This window comes from Homo sapiens, chromosome 3 (genome assembly GCF_000001405.40).
Source record: "Homo sapiens chromosome 3, GRCh38.p14 Primary Assembly".
Classification (NCBI taxonomy): domain Eukaryota; kingdom Metazoa; phylum Chordata; class Mammalia; order Primates; family Hominidae; genus Homo; species Homo sapiens.
The window spans coordinates 135,494,208-135,511,486 of record NC_000003.12 but is presented as its reverse complement, the minus strand read 5'-3'; the positions used below and the strand labels follow the sequence as shown (position 1 = coordinate 135,511,486).

At 39.5% G+C, this 17,279-nt stretch overlaps 1 long non-coding RNA gene across 5 annotated transcripts in view, besides 1 other annotated feature; it reads left to right on the top strand.

Annotated features, from left to right (window-relative positions):
- Positions 1–17,279, top strand: part of LOC105374122 (uncharacterized) — a 161,587-nt gene that overhangs the window by 4,892 nt on the left and 139,416 nt on the right. For all 5 annotated transcript variants that reach the window (XR_924528.4, XR_924527.4, XR_007096111.1 and 2 more), the window contains exon 2: positions 14,992–15,218. This is a non-coding gene — a long non-coding RNA (uncharacterized LOC105374122). The remainder of the gene's footprint in view (positions 1–14,991; positions 15,219–17,279) is intronic.
- Positions 7,566–7,860: a silencer, noted in NCBI's record as "tiled region #765; HepG2 Repressive non-DNase unmatched - State 20:ReprD, and K562 Repressive non-DNase unmatched - State 13:Ctcf". NCBI's record gives its function as "represses a minimal TATA promoter and a strong SV40 promoter by Sharpr-MPRA in HepG2 and K562 cells {active_cell/tissue: HepG2 | K562}" and the evidence as "EXISTENCE:reporter gene assay evidence [ECO:0000049][PMID:27701403]".

The window sequence follows — 17,279 nt, the reverse complement described above, 5'->3', positions numbered from 1 at the left end:
TGTGTCATATATAAGAAATCATTGCCTCACCCAAGATCACAAAGATTTTCTCCTGTGTTTTATTCTAGAAGTTTATAGTTTTAGGTTTTAAATTTAGGCCTATAATCCGTTTTGAAGTTATTTTTGTATATAATGCATTTTTTTGCATATAGTTATCCAATCATTTTAACACTATTTTGGAAAGGTAAATCTCTCTCCATTGAATTGCTCTTCTGCGTTTGTTGAAAATAATTGTCCATATATATATATATATATATATATATATATATATATATGCGTCTATTTTTGGATTCTCTATTGTGTTCTTTTGATATAGTTGTGTACATTGAGGTCTATACACATTGACTTGATTGTTGTAGCTTTATAATAAGTCTTGAAATTAGGTAATTTTAGTTCTCCACTTTGTTCTTTTTCAACATTGTTTTGGTTATTATTGGTCCTTTGCATTTCTATATGAATTTTTATAATCAGTTTATTTTATTCAAAAAAGCCTGCTGGGATTTGATTGAGATTACACTGAGTCGATAAATCTATTTGGGAGATTTAACATCTTAACAATCTTGAGTCCTCTGTTTCATCAACACAGTGTATCACTCTATTTAATTAGGTTATCTTTAATTTCTCTCAGTATTTTTTTTTTAGTTTTAATTGTATAGGTCTTTCACATCTTCTGTGAGATTTATTCCTAAGTAGTTAATATTTTTTGATGTTATTCTAAGTGGCATTGGTTTTTAAATTTCAAATTCTGATTGTTTGTTGCTAGTATATATTGAGCTTATAGTCTGAAAATTTTCTAAATTCACTCGTTAGATCTAATAGCTTTTTTTGGTGGAATCCATTGAATTTTCTACCTAGATGTTCATGTTATCTGTGAATAAATACAGTTTTAATTCTTTTTCCATCTGGATGTTTTTATTCTTTTTGCCTTATTGAACTAGCTAGAATCTTTAGAAAAGTGTTGAACAGAAGTAGTGAGAATGAATATCTTTGTCTTACTGTCAATATTATGCAAAAAATTCAGTCTTTCACAATTAAGTATGATTATAGTTGTAGATTTTTCATATCTGCCTTTTATTACATTAAAGAATTGCCTGTCTATTCCTAGTTTGCCAAGAGTTTTTACTAGGAATGGGTGTTTAGTTTTGTCAAATGTTTTTTATGCACCAATTGAAATGATCACATAGTTTTTCTTTTTGGTTTGTTAGTATAATAAATTATGTTGATTTTTTAAAAATGTTAAACCAAACTTGCCCTTCTGGGATAGACCCTACTAAGTTATGGTATATTATCCTTTCTGCATATTGTTGGATTTGATTTTCTAAAATTTTGTTTGAAATGTTTGTATCTATATTAATGAGATCTATTAGTCTGGAGTTTTCTTTTCTTGTAATATCTTTGTTTGCTTTTAGTATTAGGGTAATGCGGACCTCATGGAATTAGTTGGTAAGTTTTTATTCCTTGCTTCATTTCTTGTTATTTCTTTCTTTAATGTTTTCACCAGTGAAGCCATCTGGGCTTGGAGTTTCTTTATGGGACAGTTTTTAACTACAAATTAATTTTTTTGATATATATGAAACTATTCAGACTATCTATTTCTTCCTGAGTGAGCTTTGGTAGTTTTTGTCATTCAAAGATTTTGTCTATTTTACCTAAGTTGTAAAATCTATTGTCAAAAAGATGTTCCTAATATACTCTGTAAATATTTTTATTAACTGTAGAATTTGTAGTGATTTTACCTCTTTCATTCCTGTAATTGCTAATTTGTATCTCCCTTTCTCTCTTTTTCTGTCTCTTTTACTGATAAAAAATAAGCAAGAAGTTTTTGCCTTTTTTTGGGGGGGGGTCTGGCAAGAGGTTTATTGGTCTGCTCAAAGAATGAGCTTTTAACTTCACTCATTTTTTTCTATGTTGCATTTGTTTTCTTTTTCATTGATATTCACGTAGATAATTATTATTTCCTTTATTCTGCTTTTATTTGGCTTAATTTCTTTGCCATTTTTAGTTTCTTAGTGTGGAAGCTGAGCTCACTGAGTTGAGACATTCCTTTTCTTCTAATACAGGCATTCAGTGCTATAAATTTTCCCCTAAGTACAGCTTTAGCAGCATCTACAGCTTTTGATATGTTGTGTTTTCATTTACTTACACTTCAAATACTTCCTAATTGCACTTTTGATTTCTTCTTTGACCTGTGGGTTATTTGGAAGTATGTTGTTCACTTTTCAAATATTTAGTGATTTTTCAGAGATCTTTCTGTTACTGATTTATAATTTAATTCCATTTTGACCAGAAGATGTACTTTCTATGAACTTAATCCTTTTAAGTTTATTGAGAATTAATTTATGTCTCAGAATATAATCTATCTTGGTAAATATTTCATTTACACTTCAAAATAATGTGTATTGTGCTATTGTTAGGTGGAGAGTATTCTATAAATACCAATTAGATCATGTTGGTTAACAGTGTCGTTCAAGTTTTGTATATCCCTTACTAATTTTCTGTCTCCTTGTTCTATCAATTGTTGAGAGAGAGGATATTAAAATCTGCCACAATCAATTGTGGCTTTGTCTATTTCTTCTTGAAGTTCTATCAGTTTTTGCTTCTTGCTTTTTGAAGTTCTGTTTTCTGGAACATAAAAATTTAGGATTATCATGTATTTGCCTCTTTATCACTATGAGTTAAACTTCTTTATCCATTGTTGGGTGCTGGATATTTTTGTATTTCTGTAAATATTTTTGAGCCTTGTTCTGTGATACAGTTCAGTTACTTGGCAACAGTTTGATCTTTTAGGTTATTGCTTTTCATATTTGTTAGGTGAGACCAAAGCTGTGTTCAGTCTAGAGTTAATTATTCCCTACCAGTTAGGCAAGCCCTTTGTGAGTGCTCTACCTAATGCTGGTGCATAATGATGTTTTCCAGTCTTGCTAGTGAGAACAGGCAGTATTCTTGCCCCTATGTGAACACTAGATACTGTTCTCTCTAATCTTTTCTGGGGGTTCTTTTTCTATACTTGAGTAATTTTCTCAGTGCATGGTGCTGATCAATATTTTGTTGAATACACAAGGGGATCTTGGCTGACTTTAGAGTTCTCTCTCTGTTCATCTCTCTTCTCTCTGTCTTTGGAACTCTAGCTGCATTGTCTCCCAAGGCTTTTAGCTCTGTACCCTAAACTAGGGAAGTTTGCTGGTCTCCGCCTGATATCCTCCTTCTTGCTCCATGGTCTGGAAATGTTCTAAAGGTAGCAAGCTGGGGTAATTGTACAGCTCCCCTCACTTGTTCTGCATCTCTCAGGCATTGCCACACTGATATCTGTTGTTTTGCTGATAGTCAATGTCTTGAAAACTGTTCTTTCATGTGTTGTTTTGTCCTTGTTTATTTCAGACAGGAGGACAAAATTCAGTCCCTGTTATTTCGTCTTAGCCAGAACTGAAACAACTATAGTTTTTGATTCAACTTAAGTTTTCCAGCCTGCTTTCAGATAAAACCAGTTTTCTATAATTCAAATTTTAAAGTTAAAGTGATTCTCAACTGGGTTTTATTTTTTAAATAAACTTTATTGGGGAATAAGCTATATACAATAAAATTAACATATTTTAGGTGATTATTTTAATGAGTTTTGAAAGGTGAACATACCTGCTTAACCGCATTCAAGATATAGAACACTTCTATGACCCTATGAAGTTCCTTTCAATGAATTTTTAATGTGCAATTATGAGAATTCAGTTGAACTCTATGCATTGCCCTTTGAGCTCAGAAAAGGAGCCCAGTGACTGAGCTGCCTCCCATTGGTGGGTTGGCGTTACCCTGTTTTCCGCATTGCCCAGGTAGAGAAACACATGTGTAACTCCTTGCAGATTTTACAGGCTCTCTTGATGTATTTGTTACACAACGTTCTTGCCACAATAACTAATTGATACATGGTGCTTGATAGATATTGCCAGACTGCTTTCAAAAAGTTTCAAAAAATTGTTGTGTTTATATTTATACTGCACCAATAAAATATTATCTTTATTTTTAACTTCTGAAAATTTAATAGGGTAAATCATATTTTTGTTATCATTTTGTTTCTCAGACCCATGTCTGAATTTGTGAGGCACCTAGGAGCCATGCTGATATTATACATTAATGAATCTCATTTCCCTTCTGGTGGATGCACCAGAGGGAACCCTACATGGCAGCTGTTTGAACAAGAAGCCAAAAACACACTTTCACAGCAAATCATAAAGCCCCTGGGATTGTGTCATATTTAAACATATTACCTTGTTTCAAACATTCATTTATATTTTTGACTCCTTCTCCTCCATGTGCAATATTGTATTTTTAGTCCCACAGTTTTCTAGTGTTTGTCATGTGCCAGGCAGTGGGCTAGCCACATTAGGCACTGCATCCTGGAACAAGCAAAGCCACCTCTGTGCCGTTGCATCCCTCTTCTTGTTGTCCAGCTTCCTCCCACTCTATTGGCTACCAGTTCAGAATTCTCATTCTTGTGCTGTTCACTGTGTTGCTCTTTGCATCTCTCCTAGCCTATTAAGGACCTGGGGGCTTATACTCAAACAATGCCTCACCTTGCCCATTGAAATACAGCAGCAACAACGAGTCCTGCTGTGAGTGAGTAAGGCCGGGGTAAGAGGGGCAACCGACCCTTTCTTATCTCTGGATCCAGGTCCTATACCACACAATTGTTTTAACAGGCAAGGTTGGATATTTTTATATATTTTTATTTGCTAGTTAAGGCTTTCCTTATAGAAATTTTCTGTTTATGTCCCTTGCCTACTTATCTATTGAGGACTTTATTCTTTTATTTTTTAATCAATTTATATGAATTCTTTATGTAGCAAAGATATTAAACAATTTTTGCAATATTTCTGCAAAATTATTTCTCTGTCCAATATTTGCTTGTTTCCTTGGCTTTTGCTAGCCAGAAGATGTGTTTCCTGAGTGTTAGGTTTACTCCTATAAATAAGACGGACCATATTCAAATGTGTGTACCTTTCTCTTATCTTTACATAGCCTATAACATGTTTTCTCAGACAGTGTAAGTCTCACTCTGGAATGCTCAGATTAGCAGCCAAGGATGTATTCAGGGGGGAGGGAGAAATTGGATACTTCTGTGACAGGAATGGCTAGTGACATTTTCTCCCTGATGAGGTTCTATGTTCCACTCTTCCTTAATGCATTCTAAAATATTTATTGAGCATCTACTCTGTGCCAGGCATCACTGCCTTGTACATTCTAGGCCTTCGTTTAATGGCCACTGAGATTTAATTGAAGTTTGATGAGATGGATGCACTGTACACTATATCAGTAAAGTTGACTATAACCACGTTCTTAGAGTTATAGAGACTCTACAACTTTAGAGTCTGTAGAGATAATCTTGATTGAGCAAGACAGATATAGTTCCTCTCCTCCAGGGGTTCACAGAATATTGAAGAAGGCAGAGAAGTAAAAGAAAATTACAATAAAGTGTGGTAGGAGCTGTGATGGAGGACAGGGGGTGGGGACCTTGAAAATATATAGAGGGCACCTAGCTCAGATGTGAGGAACAAGGCAAAGCTTACTAGAGGTAGTGATATCCAAACAAAGACCTGGAGAATGTCTAAGAATGGCTGGGAGAACAAGATTGGAGATCAGAGTATTCTTGCAAAGGCACCAGCTCAAAAAACTCCTGAGGGTGAGAGAGAAAACTTGTGTCTTTGAGAATCCAAGGTGACAAAAAGCGAATCCTAGAGAAATGGGTTAAATATTATCATTATCAGCACTTGAATTATTTGACCCCCTTTCCTTTTGTTCCCCTACCCGTTTGTAAAATACACCACCATTATCATTTACTAATGAAAAGGGAGTTGGCCTGAAAATCAAGACACTTGGTTATTACTCCTTGTTCTGCCATAAAAGAGTTAGTTATGTGACTTTGGTGAGTTTAAGGTCCACTCTAGGCCTCTCTTCTGTTCTGTGAAAGCAGGGGACCAGGAAGAACAATGTCGCATACACATCACAGACAGTAGGCTGCATCTACTATCTTTGAGGCATAGTTGTTGAATGGCACTAGGGTCTGTCTTCTTCCCATTCATCATGTCTGTGTTGCTCAAGAAAGGCATCTAAACCTGAGGACAAATAGCCAGAGTCTAAGAAGAGGTGTTCCTATGCCCAGTGAACCAAATCCTCCAGCTAGAATCTGAACAGTCCCTACCCCCAACTCCATAAAACCTTACCCTGTGGGCTATTGATTTCCACAGACAGGAGTCAAGCCAATAAGTTAGAACTCCTGGAGGGCAGATAGGGACTGTTTGGGAGATTTTTCAGGCAGTACCTAATACATTAGGGGTCCTCAGTTAATATTCATTGAAGTTTCATTGAGGTTTGATGAGACAGATGAACCATACAATATGTCAATAAAGTTAAGTATTACCCTAACCACATTCTTAAAGTTATTAAAAATGTCAAGAGCAGGGTGATTTATTTCCTCATTCTATGGAAATATTGCAAAGAGAGTATGTATTAAAACGTGCAGAGCTTAAATAATAATGATTTATCTTTCTGACTCCATCTTGAGCTTAGTGTCAGTGACTGTTTCTGGTATCATCTGCCTCTTTCAGGTCTTTGGCCTTTTGACACCATTTTTAGCCCTAAGAGCAATGGGAGATTGCAGTACATGCTGGAGTTTAAGGAACTGGTGCAAATTCATTCCCCAGCCACCGCCTGTCTGTGGACGATCCCTAGCAGCTGCCAAAGTGTGACCTTTTACATTTGACATCATTGCCCCTGAGTAATAGGTACTTTAGCAGGGGAATGACAGAGCTCTGACCTTGAGCTGAAACCTGAAAAATGTGGTTCCTATTCTGACATAGTGTGTCTCCCAGGAGAGTTATAAGCAATAGCAACTGAGGGAACTCAGGAGGGAGAGGGAGTTAAGAGTTATTTGCTCTGGGAATTTGTGTTCATGTTGAATCCCTTGCAGCTGACTTGCAGCACAGCCTGCTGTGGAGCAGGGCTCCTGACAGGGCGAGCCTTGAGATTCTCCACCGTGGGTCTCAGCCACAGCTTCTCTAGGACACCAGGAGATACCGCCCCTCAGAGTATGTGCTTGTGTGTCTAAGATGCACATCCCTTAGGAGCTGGAATGGCACAAACAGCTTTGCACAGCTACAGCTAAGCACCATGTACCAAGAACCTCTTGTTAAAAAATAATTTTGATGCTTCGTAATAACTATGTGATTACAAACCCTGTGAAAAATGACAACGGTTAAAACAAAAACTAGCCTTGCAAGCTATGTGCAGCTTTGGCAAAGCATGTTCTCTTGAGTCCCCTCCCCAGCTGCTCAAGGGCACCCCTTCTTTCAGGATCTCCCCTCTGGACACGCTGCTGCCCAGGGCTTTGTGTACGCTGTACTCCAGCCTCCTGCCTTCCCCATAACCGGCCCAGCAATCGGTACCGTTCTCGGCCTCTCGGGGGCACCAGAGCTCTCTCATAGCAAGGTAGATGCTTCTTGAGACAAAAGACGGGGATTTTGGCTGCCAATTTGTCTTTAACATTGTGTAAGGTCTGTCTCTACACAGAGCAGGCCATATACAGACCCGAATCAGGGCGTGCATTGTTCTGGCTTTTCTGTTGCTGGGAGAGGGATAATGGTAGCACACGCCCTGAGGTGCAGGGGAGCTGGATTTTGGTGCCTTTTGCATCCGAGTCCACCTATGAGGGCGAGTGGCTGGAAGAACAGGTCCCTGGAGTCAGACCTCATAGGACAGGAGGCTTCTCTTCGCCCCTGCCTGATGCTTCATGGAGTCGCATTCAGCAGTGAAACAAAAGGTGCCAGAGAAACAAGGCAAGTGAAAGTGATAGGAGAAAACGGCAAAAGGAAAGGGGCAGGAAGAAAGAAAGAGAAAAAGGGATTGAAAGCTAGGAGCAAAATCAAGAATGAGACCAAGAAAAGCTAATGTATGGTGATTGTTCTTACCAGTGTTATGGATTTTGGAGCAAAACAAATTGTAGGAAGCAAACTTCCCCAAATGTGAGTACTTAATAAAAAAGAAAACAGAAGGATTGATAATGGAAATTAGGCTAATGAATAAACAAGCTGCTTAAAAAATAGGTTTCTCTCGCAGTCCGTTATTTTTAACTTAGTGGCAATTTGCATACTAGTTAATTTGCATATATTAAATACTGCTCCCCTTCTCCTTCCCACCTCCTCCACTTCAGAATAACATTTCATTACGGTGCTGCTGGGCCAGAGGACTCTGAGGCTCTGGAGAGTTTATTAATTTATCCAACACATGCTGTGTACATTTTTATCACTTGCCGCACAGTGGACCCGGTATCTTTGAAGTCATTAACAACACGAGGGGTGTTCTGCTCGAGGTATTCAAAAGAGAATGAGAAAAGCCAGCCTGCAATAACTGTACCAAAAAACAGGAAAAGATCGTGTATGGTTTATGTTCTTTCTAGGAATACAAAAATGAGCAAGGGATGACTCTCTCATCCGCATCAGAGAGCTTCTGTTTTGTTTATTTGTGTTTTTATTTATTTAAATTTTGAAGCAAAATGGAAATGATTCCCAGTGGGGTGCAGACATCCAAAAAAGCACTAGCCATGCATACTATTTCTCCTGCCTCTGCCCACACTGAAAGGCAGGCTAGAGAGTGTGGCTCTTGGGGGAACCTCCATTACTGCTGATGAGAATAATAAACCAACAGGTGAGGGCCACAAGCAGCCACTCTACTGTGGTCCTAGGGCTCTGCCTGCTGTCACTGCTGGGCGTCACGGGGACCATCCCTGGACTGCACCTCCTCCTTAGTGCGCTCTCCCAGGGCGCCCTCCCACCACTGTCTCTCTCCCTTGTAGCTTCGACCTACTACAATTTAGGGAACTACTAAATTGAGCTTCTACTGGCATACTTAAATGCCCTGTAGTGGGTCGTGCCACCTCCCATGGGAATAGAAGAAGGCTACCATTTCTAAGAAGGAGCTTTTAAAAAGTGACCACCTGCATTAATCCTGATGCCATTTTCTGATGCCATTTTCTAATGCCATCCTATCAGTTTAGCTATTTGTCCCTCTTTCTACTGTCCCAGGTGCTTAAGTTGAAGAGAAACCTGTGTATTTGTCTAGAGCTTGAAGTGTTTTCCCCAGATGCCAATGCAAATTAACAAATTTATTCAATCATTCATTCATCAAATATTTATTGAATGCCTACCATGTGCCAGACATTCTAGGCATGGGAAAAATGGAGCTTACATTCTCATGGGTGGAGACAGACAATAAACACATAAATGATAAAGTGATATTTTTCTAGAGTTAAAAACACTAAGAGGAAGGATAAGTAAGGTGTGGGGTAGCTAGTGACCTGAGCAAGGGAGCATTACTTTAGCTAAGCTCAGCAGGGATAGCATCTCTGAGGATGTGACATTTGAGCTATAACTAAGGAGAACTAGAAGTAGGCAGAGTTAATTCACGGTCTTGCGGCCATCTTTGTGCTTGGTTTGGTCCTAGTTGGGCTTTTAGTTCAGTGAATTTGCATTTAGCTGAAACAATCTGTCAGCCCCAATGTGTTCACCACCACTGATCCCAAGGTGAGTACTGGCTTGATGTTTCTGGCTTAGTGGAACAGCAGCTCTTTGGGCCCTTACACCATTCAGGTTACCTTTTGTGCAGAATGAGCAAGATTCAGACTTTGAATCTGAGAAGAAACTCCTCTGAAGGAGACAGTTATGTGCAATGGTTAAACCTGTCCGACAGCCTGGGTTGAATCTTACTAGGTTTGTGACTTTGGGTAAGTTACATTACCTCTCTGCAGTTTAGTTTCCCAACTTGTAAAGTGGATATAATAAACGTAGAGGACCTGGCATGTAATAAAGTCTCAATAAATGTGCCCAGGTTTTATTCTCCAGAACATGTAGACTTTCCTCCCTCCATCACCCTCAAGGATAAGGATTCTAGTCCATGAATGGAGGATGTGGAGACTTTTGATGTGTGATAGTAAGCATATACAAAGAAAAGAAAATCATCTAAGAGCAATTTCTAAGCCCCTTGTGTCTTGAATCAAGGAATCAGATAGCCTTGGGTTTGAAACCCACCTCCACCAGGTTATTAAAAATTTTGACTTCAAGCAAGTTACTTGATTATGACTCAGTTGCTCATTTGTAATATGGGGATAATCATAATGTCTACCTTATAATGCCATTACAAGGATTAATGATACAGTGTCTGTCAACCATAACACATAAATAAATGTTAGCTGCTATATTTAATATTATTTCACCTGCCTGGCCTGTGGCAATAAGTAGTTTGATCCTCTTGATTAACAAGCAATGCTTAAATTCTTCACATATTGTATTGATTTTTTTTTTTTTTTTTTTGCCAAATTACTCTCAAACTGGCTGCCACACTGCCATTTCAGTGTAGTTTTCTCCACCACCAATGCCTTTGTCCCTGCCTACGTCAATGTCTTCTTTCCCCAGGACAACTGCAATGGCCCTGGCTTGTCTCGCCACTTCTCCTCCTGCCCGCCTCCAAGTCCTTCACCACAAGGCAGGCAGAGGATCTTTGTAGAGTGTAAATCAGCCATCCAGTGGCTGTCATTCACTCCTCTAATAAAATTCAAACTCCTAACCCTGGCCTGCAGGCTTAATTGACCCTTCCCTTATATGTCCAACCTTAGCTCTTCTCACTTTCCTCCATGCCTGCTGTACTCTAGCCACACTGGCCTTTCTACCCTTAAACATGCCAAGCTTTTTCCTGCTTTAAGGTTTTCAGGCATGTTATTTCTTCTCCCAAAATGCCCTTTCTGTGCTGTGGTTGCTGGTATAATAGTGAGGGATTTCATTTGACTATGAATAACAGAACATTCTGATGACAGTACTTCCATATATACAGGGTTTTTTTCTTTTTCATTCAATTAGAAGTTTAAAGAGGTTGCCTTGGTCATTGGCTCAAAAATATGAGAGAAAAGATCCCTGTCTTTGCTTTTCCCTTTTGTTTGCAAGATGACTCCCATAGCACCAGCCATCTTATCCATATTTCAGATAAAAGAAGTTGCTGAAGAGAAGCAAGAAAGGGCAGTCCTTATATTAGGGAAGCAACACCTTCTCCGAAATTATAGCTTATACCTCAATGGCCAAAGCTGGGATATGCGTGTTTTAGTTAGGTACACTGTGCTGTGCACATAAGCAAAATAAGGAAGAAGTGAAATGTATTAGGCAAATGGTGGTGTCTGCCATAGCTGGCTTCTATTTTTTTGGGTTCAGGAAATGAGAGTGCATTTTCTTCTCAAAGAGGCCTTTTCTGAACATCTTGTCTAAGTAGTTTCGCTCCCTCTCATTATTCTCTGTCATAAGCCCTTTCTGTTTCCTTTGTAGTGCTTTTTATAATTGTTTAATTCTTTGTTTACTTGTTTGTCATATATCTTACCATAGGCACCATAAGGGCAGAGACTATGTCTGCTTGGCTTGCTACTGAATCCTTAGAACTCAGCTCAGAGCTGGGCATCAGTGGTTTCTCAAGAAATAATTCATTGAATGAATGGGTGAACCAGTTAATAAATGAATATAGGATACCTCTAGGATGTTGGGAAAGTTCTTTTTTCCTTTCCCAGACTACTCCAATCAAGGGGAATCACCCCCAGTAGAATTGCTAGGTAGAAATGAACATAGTAAACTAGTGTTAATAAGGGGCTTTGTCAAATTAACAAAAAACAAAATGTCCAGAAAATGAATTGCTAGATTCTTATTATCACATATTTTCACAAGTGCTCAGCTCTGATCATTGAGAAGTTTCAGTAGTTGAGAGTGAGTCAGATGTGGCAAGTTATAGAGATGTTCTGGATTACACAGGAAATGCAGAATCTAAGCTCAAAACTGTCCTTTGGGAATGTTATGCACCCAACACTTGGGTTGGGAACATATTGCACAATGATCTTGTTTCCACTTGTCCTTGAAAAACAAAACTAAACAAAATCACAATACATCATTTACTCTGTATTATATGTATTAACTGGTTAAATCCTTAAAACTCTCCGAAGAATAAAACTGAGGCTAAGGAAAGTTACGGTTAGGAAGTGGTGATGGAATCTGGGTTTGAACCTTAGTAACTAAGCTCCAGAGACTATGCGCTTATATTATGTTATAGTGCTCACTATTTTAATTTAGTGCAGAATTTCTTTAGGGAAGATTGGTTATATCAAATGGAAACCTATATTGTATTATACCTATGATTCTTCTGTAAAAGTCAGCTTTTAGGCAAGAGTGCAGAAAATGACTCTTTGGTGTATTACTGCAGAAACAAGTGCTTCAGTTGGGAGGTAGCTGTTCAGACAAAATGTAAAACAGGGAGTGGAGATGGTTCTTCAGGAGCCAGGACCAGCTGACCTCCATCCTCTTTCTGCCCTTATATCTAAAATTCTTGAGTTATCATCCTGAATTTAATTTCAGGGCCAGCTTCCTGCATTGCTGTAATCTATGTTTTCTAAAAGAGTGTTAATATTGCTAATCAAAGCTGTGTGGAGTGACAATTTTTTCCTGTGTGTTGCTGCAAAACAGACCATTCAAAAGAATGAAATTCTACAAGTAATTCAATAATTGCATCGCATGAAAACCTGGTAGATTTAGACTTTCCAAGCTAGAAAAGGCCTGCAGCAGGGATGAAATAGGCTGGAGGGTCGTGCTGAATTCAAATCCTGGCTCTGCAACTTGCCAGCATTATGACTTTGGGCAGGTTACTTAACCCTAGGAATCTCTGTCACCTCTCACTTAAAAGAGATTTAGACCTAACCAAGGGAGTATTGTGAGTATTTCATGTGGTAATGTGTGTCAAAAACCCTAACACAATGACAGTCACTGAGTAGGGGTTCAACCAGTGCCAACTCCATTCCCCTCCCCTTCCAGATGCCATGTGGCTCACTTAGTTAGTTGTCCTCTGAAAAATCTTAACAAAGAAGGCTCTTGTTTCTAAATAACTTCAGGGAGGAGACTTGATGAGCACTCTTGGTTGCCCATCCTATTGTCATTCACATCCCTAATTTTCTAGCCTTTAATAAAGTACTATGTGCAGTGGGGAACTCCACAGCTTGTGGGACATGCAGGGTTGGGGAGGGTCGATCAGAAGGCCACAGAGAAGCAGAAAAGTTTAGTTAAGAAGACCCTTGAGAGGCTGAAACTACTTAGGCCGAACCCTCAGGCCTGGTGTGAAGGATTTAAGCACAATACAAGACCCAAGTGTTCAGTGCAGGCACCAGTTAGGGACAGGAAGGCACAAGGATGCATGGATGGGCCGTAAATACAGACCACAAAGCCGCAGAGAGCCAGTTCAGGTCTGTGGTCACTGTGGTGATGGCACATCCTCAGGGTACCTGCCTGGTACTCAAGCTGTCTGTCCTGGCCCAGAGAACTCACATACCGTAAGCTAGGCCCACATCATAGCTTCTCTTAATTGTGAGTCTGTTTAACGTTCATTCAGTTTCTTCCTGGCATGTAGACTTTCATGGTAAACTGATATTTTAGCATTTTCTTATACAGCTGAACGAAAATGTGCTTTCTTTTAACTTTTACTCACTGGCTCCAGCCCTGCACCAAGGATTCACACAGAAAGAAAATTCCGGCCAGGCATGGTGGCTTATGCCTGTAATCCCAGCACTTTGGGAGGCTGAGGCGGGCGGATCATGAGGTCAGGAGATCGAGACCATCCTGGCTAATGCGGTGAAACCCTGTTTCTACTAAAAATACAAAAATTAGCCAGGTGTGGTGGCGGGCGCCTGTAGTCCCAGCTACTTGGGAGACTGAGGCAGGAGAATGGCATGAACCTGGGAGGTGGAGCTTGCAGTGAGCCGAGATGGCACCACTGCACTCCAACCTGGGTGACAGAGCAAGACTCCGTCTCAAAAAAAAAGAAAATTTCCTTTTTCTTGGGACAGTCTTTCAGACATTTAAAGAGAATCATCAACTGGCTAAACATCTCCAAGGTCTTTTAATTAATATAGTTTTCAGTTCTTTTCCCATTTTCTTTTCCTGCCTGTGACCTTTCTCCATCTGGTCAGTGAATACCCTGAACTACAGATCTCAGAACCTCTGGAAGAAGCAGACAGCAGTTAGTTACCACTGGAAAATGTAGTCCTGTGTTCCTATTAGCTTCCTTGGCAACTGCCCCCTTACTATTGAGTGAAACTGAGACAGTAGACTCAATTCTGAGGTCTTCTTCTCATGAGTTGCTATCAAGGTCTGTCTCCTCATCCTTTATGTGTGCACTTGATTATTTGAATATGACTCTGAAATGTTGGGTCAGGTTTGAACTACTGCTTTTGGCATGCTGATTCTGCCATCCCCCTCCACAGCCTCTTCTCTCAGCCTCATGTAGATGGGGTATGCAGGCTCAAGGGGACAAATATTTAATAATACTTGATAAAAATTTTGGACTGAATGAGGCAGAGGTCAAAATTCTTCATTATATCACAGTTCAGGGCATCCTATAGCGTCATATCACCCATTAATCGTCATCTCCAAATTTATTCAACCAGTTATAAATCCACTGAATTGTATTATCATGAGGTCCATATCTCTGTAATTTGTTAACAACAATATTATAGGAAACTCCATCAAAGACATTGCTAAAATCAATAAGCACAGTATCTACTGCATCTTTTTAATTCTCTATTGTGGTCATCTCACCAACAGGCATGTCTAATGGGGATTGCTCTTAGTGAGTCACAGTTGGTCCCAGGAAACATGTTCTTCCCAATAAGGGTTCACATTTCTTCTGTTACACAATCTTCTCAAGGAGTTTCTAGGGACCATCTTACTCTTTTGAAAATTAAAACCTGCCCTCTTCCCAAAAGATATTAAATAGATGAGGATAGGACAAAAGAGATTGAAATTAAACTTTGCAGAAATAATCTAGATCAGGCTTTATGAATAATTACGAGGCATTGTGCTAAAATTCTAAAAATGGCTATGATGTCACTTGCATAAATTATTAATAAATTATTATATATTTGATAATTTTTCTTTGTAGACCTGGAGGCAAAGGTATGGATGAGATCACATAGCAAGGAGATTGCTGCTGAGAAGGAGTCAAAGCCTGGGTTTTACTTGTGGCCTTGCTGCTACACCAACTTTACTGACATGCCATTCTGGGATAGTCTTTTCTCTCTGAGGCTTCAAGAGAAGATGAGAATACATTCCATCCCTACCTCTTGGAGTCATTGTGAGGACTCAGATGAAGTGCAGCATCACGCAACAGTAAGTGGTTATTAGTATGGCTTCTGGAAGAGTTTGTGTCTCCAAGTGGGATCCTTGGCTGTCAGATCCATGACTGCATCTATAAATACTGTGGGAAGTCGGAAGCACACACTGGGGTTGACCGTATTCTCTAATTGGGTGTCACCTTTCATGAGCCAAGCAGCTGCCAAAACTCATTGCCTCTGATTTAGTGTCTTGGAACTGATCAGCATATTGTTTTGTTAATAACCATCTGAAGTTCAAGAAGTCTTCCAAGTGGTACCACTTGAAATATAACAGCTGGCTCAGGGGCTGTTTTGTGGTAGGCTCAAATGGGACTTAGATGCTATTTCCCTCTTATGCACAAATGTGGTAACAAGCTTGAAAAGGGGGCTCAGTGATTCCCCACTGCCTCCAGTGCTCAGTAAGCAATTTGAATATTTCAATATGGAAAATATAACCTAGTTCTTTTTAGACCAATCTGCCTCTTATTCATAAATTAAATAGGATACACAGAGCTAAGGAACAGAATGAAGACAAGACAGTGAAGACATCATCTCAATAGCAGGAATCTATCCTGAGCCTGTCATTCTTCCATCTATATTCCTGTCCACCCATATGTCCATATATCTGTCAATCCATCTATTAATACATTAAAAATTAAATGAATATTTATGATACAAAAGACACTTAATGAGACCTAAGTCCTGCCTTCAAAGAGTTTATGGTTAAGTATATGGGAGAAATCGAATATAATTCACAGCAAAGCAATGTTATTACAAGATCAGAGAAAGATTACTTCCAGTTAGATAGAACCGGGGAAGCATTTAGGCTGAATCAAGAAAGTTGGATAAGATTTAGATGTATGGAGATGGGAGATATGGTTTTTCTAGGAAGAGGGAATAACCAACAATAAAGACATGAAGGAGGTAAACTATGGAGACTGCTTGGAGACTACTGTTCAGTATTGAGTTTTGCAGGAGATAATGAGAGTTAAGCTGAAAAGGTAGTCTGGGACAGAAGATAAAGGGCCTGGAATTCCAGGCTAAGGAGTTTGTACATCATTTTGGAGAAAATTGGGAGCCCCTGAGGATTTTTAAATATTGTAGCATTGTATCCAGAACTGTGCTTCAGAAAGAGTACTGCCGTTCCCAGTGTTAAATGTTAGAAGCAATACGCCAGAGCCTTGCCTCCAGGTCTTACCTTCTGGCTTTCACATGGCATTTGTTGGTGCCAGTGGCTGGGAAGATTATTCTATTTTACCCTGAAGGAGGAAGGTGGATGTAGTGGACCTGTGAATTCCAGTCAGATTCCCTTTCAGGACTGACACACTTATCTGCTCATGCTGAGAGTGTTGGCTACTGATGGCCATAGCCAAATCCCTGTCTGGGAACTGCATCTGGCTGGTGAGAGCTGCCTTTCCCAGGGTAATACTCTCTCCTTCAATGACTGGTTGATACAGGGGTTACAAAGGCCTGGCCCCTTTGCCTCAATTTGGAAGAGAACTCTGAATACTCCGCAGTCCATAACTCCCAAGCTTCCTGCAGGATTATCTGAGGCTTCTGCATTCCCTAGTGCCTGCTCCGACAAAACTCCTGCACATACATCTCCATCTCAGAGTCTGTTTCTAGAATCCTGAGCAAAGGCAATGGGTCTTCCTCTTCCCCAGCTTCCTCTGCAGTTGACTTATCCAGGGGATGGCTTGTGTCATCTCTCTTGTATCACCTCCCTTGGTAAGGGGCTGAAGATGGGCAGTGTTGCCCCTATTTCTAAGAGATTGTCTCTGTGAGTGTATCTGTGAGTGTAGAGTTTTCTCTTTAGGTATTGAGGGTCTCTGGACCTTCCCAGGCTGTGTTCCCCAAAATGTCTTCCATGGGATGTTTATGGAGGTACACCTTGAAAAAAGTGGTAGCCAAACGAGTACTCAGTATCTAAGAGGTTAGAATTGTAGACAATGCTTGAGTATATCCGATTATAGAGAAGTTTTCTCAAAAATCATGTCGGGGTTAAGGAACTGTTGCTTTATATGTTTGAGGAATTATTTGGGGCTGAAATACTCATTAGTGAGTATTTCATTAGTGA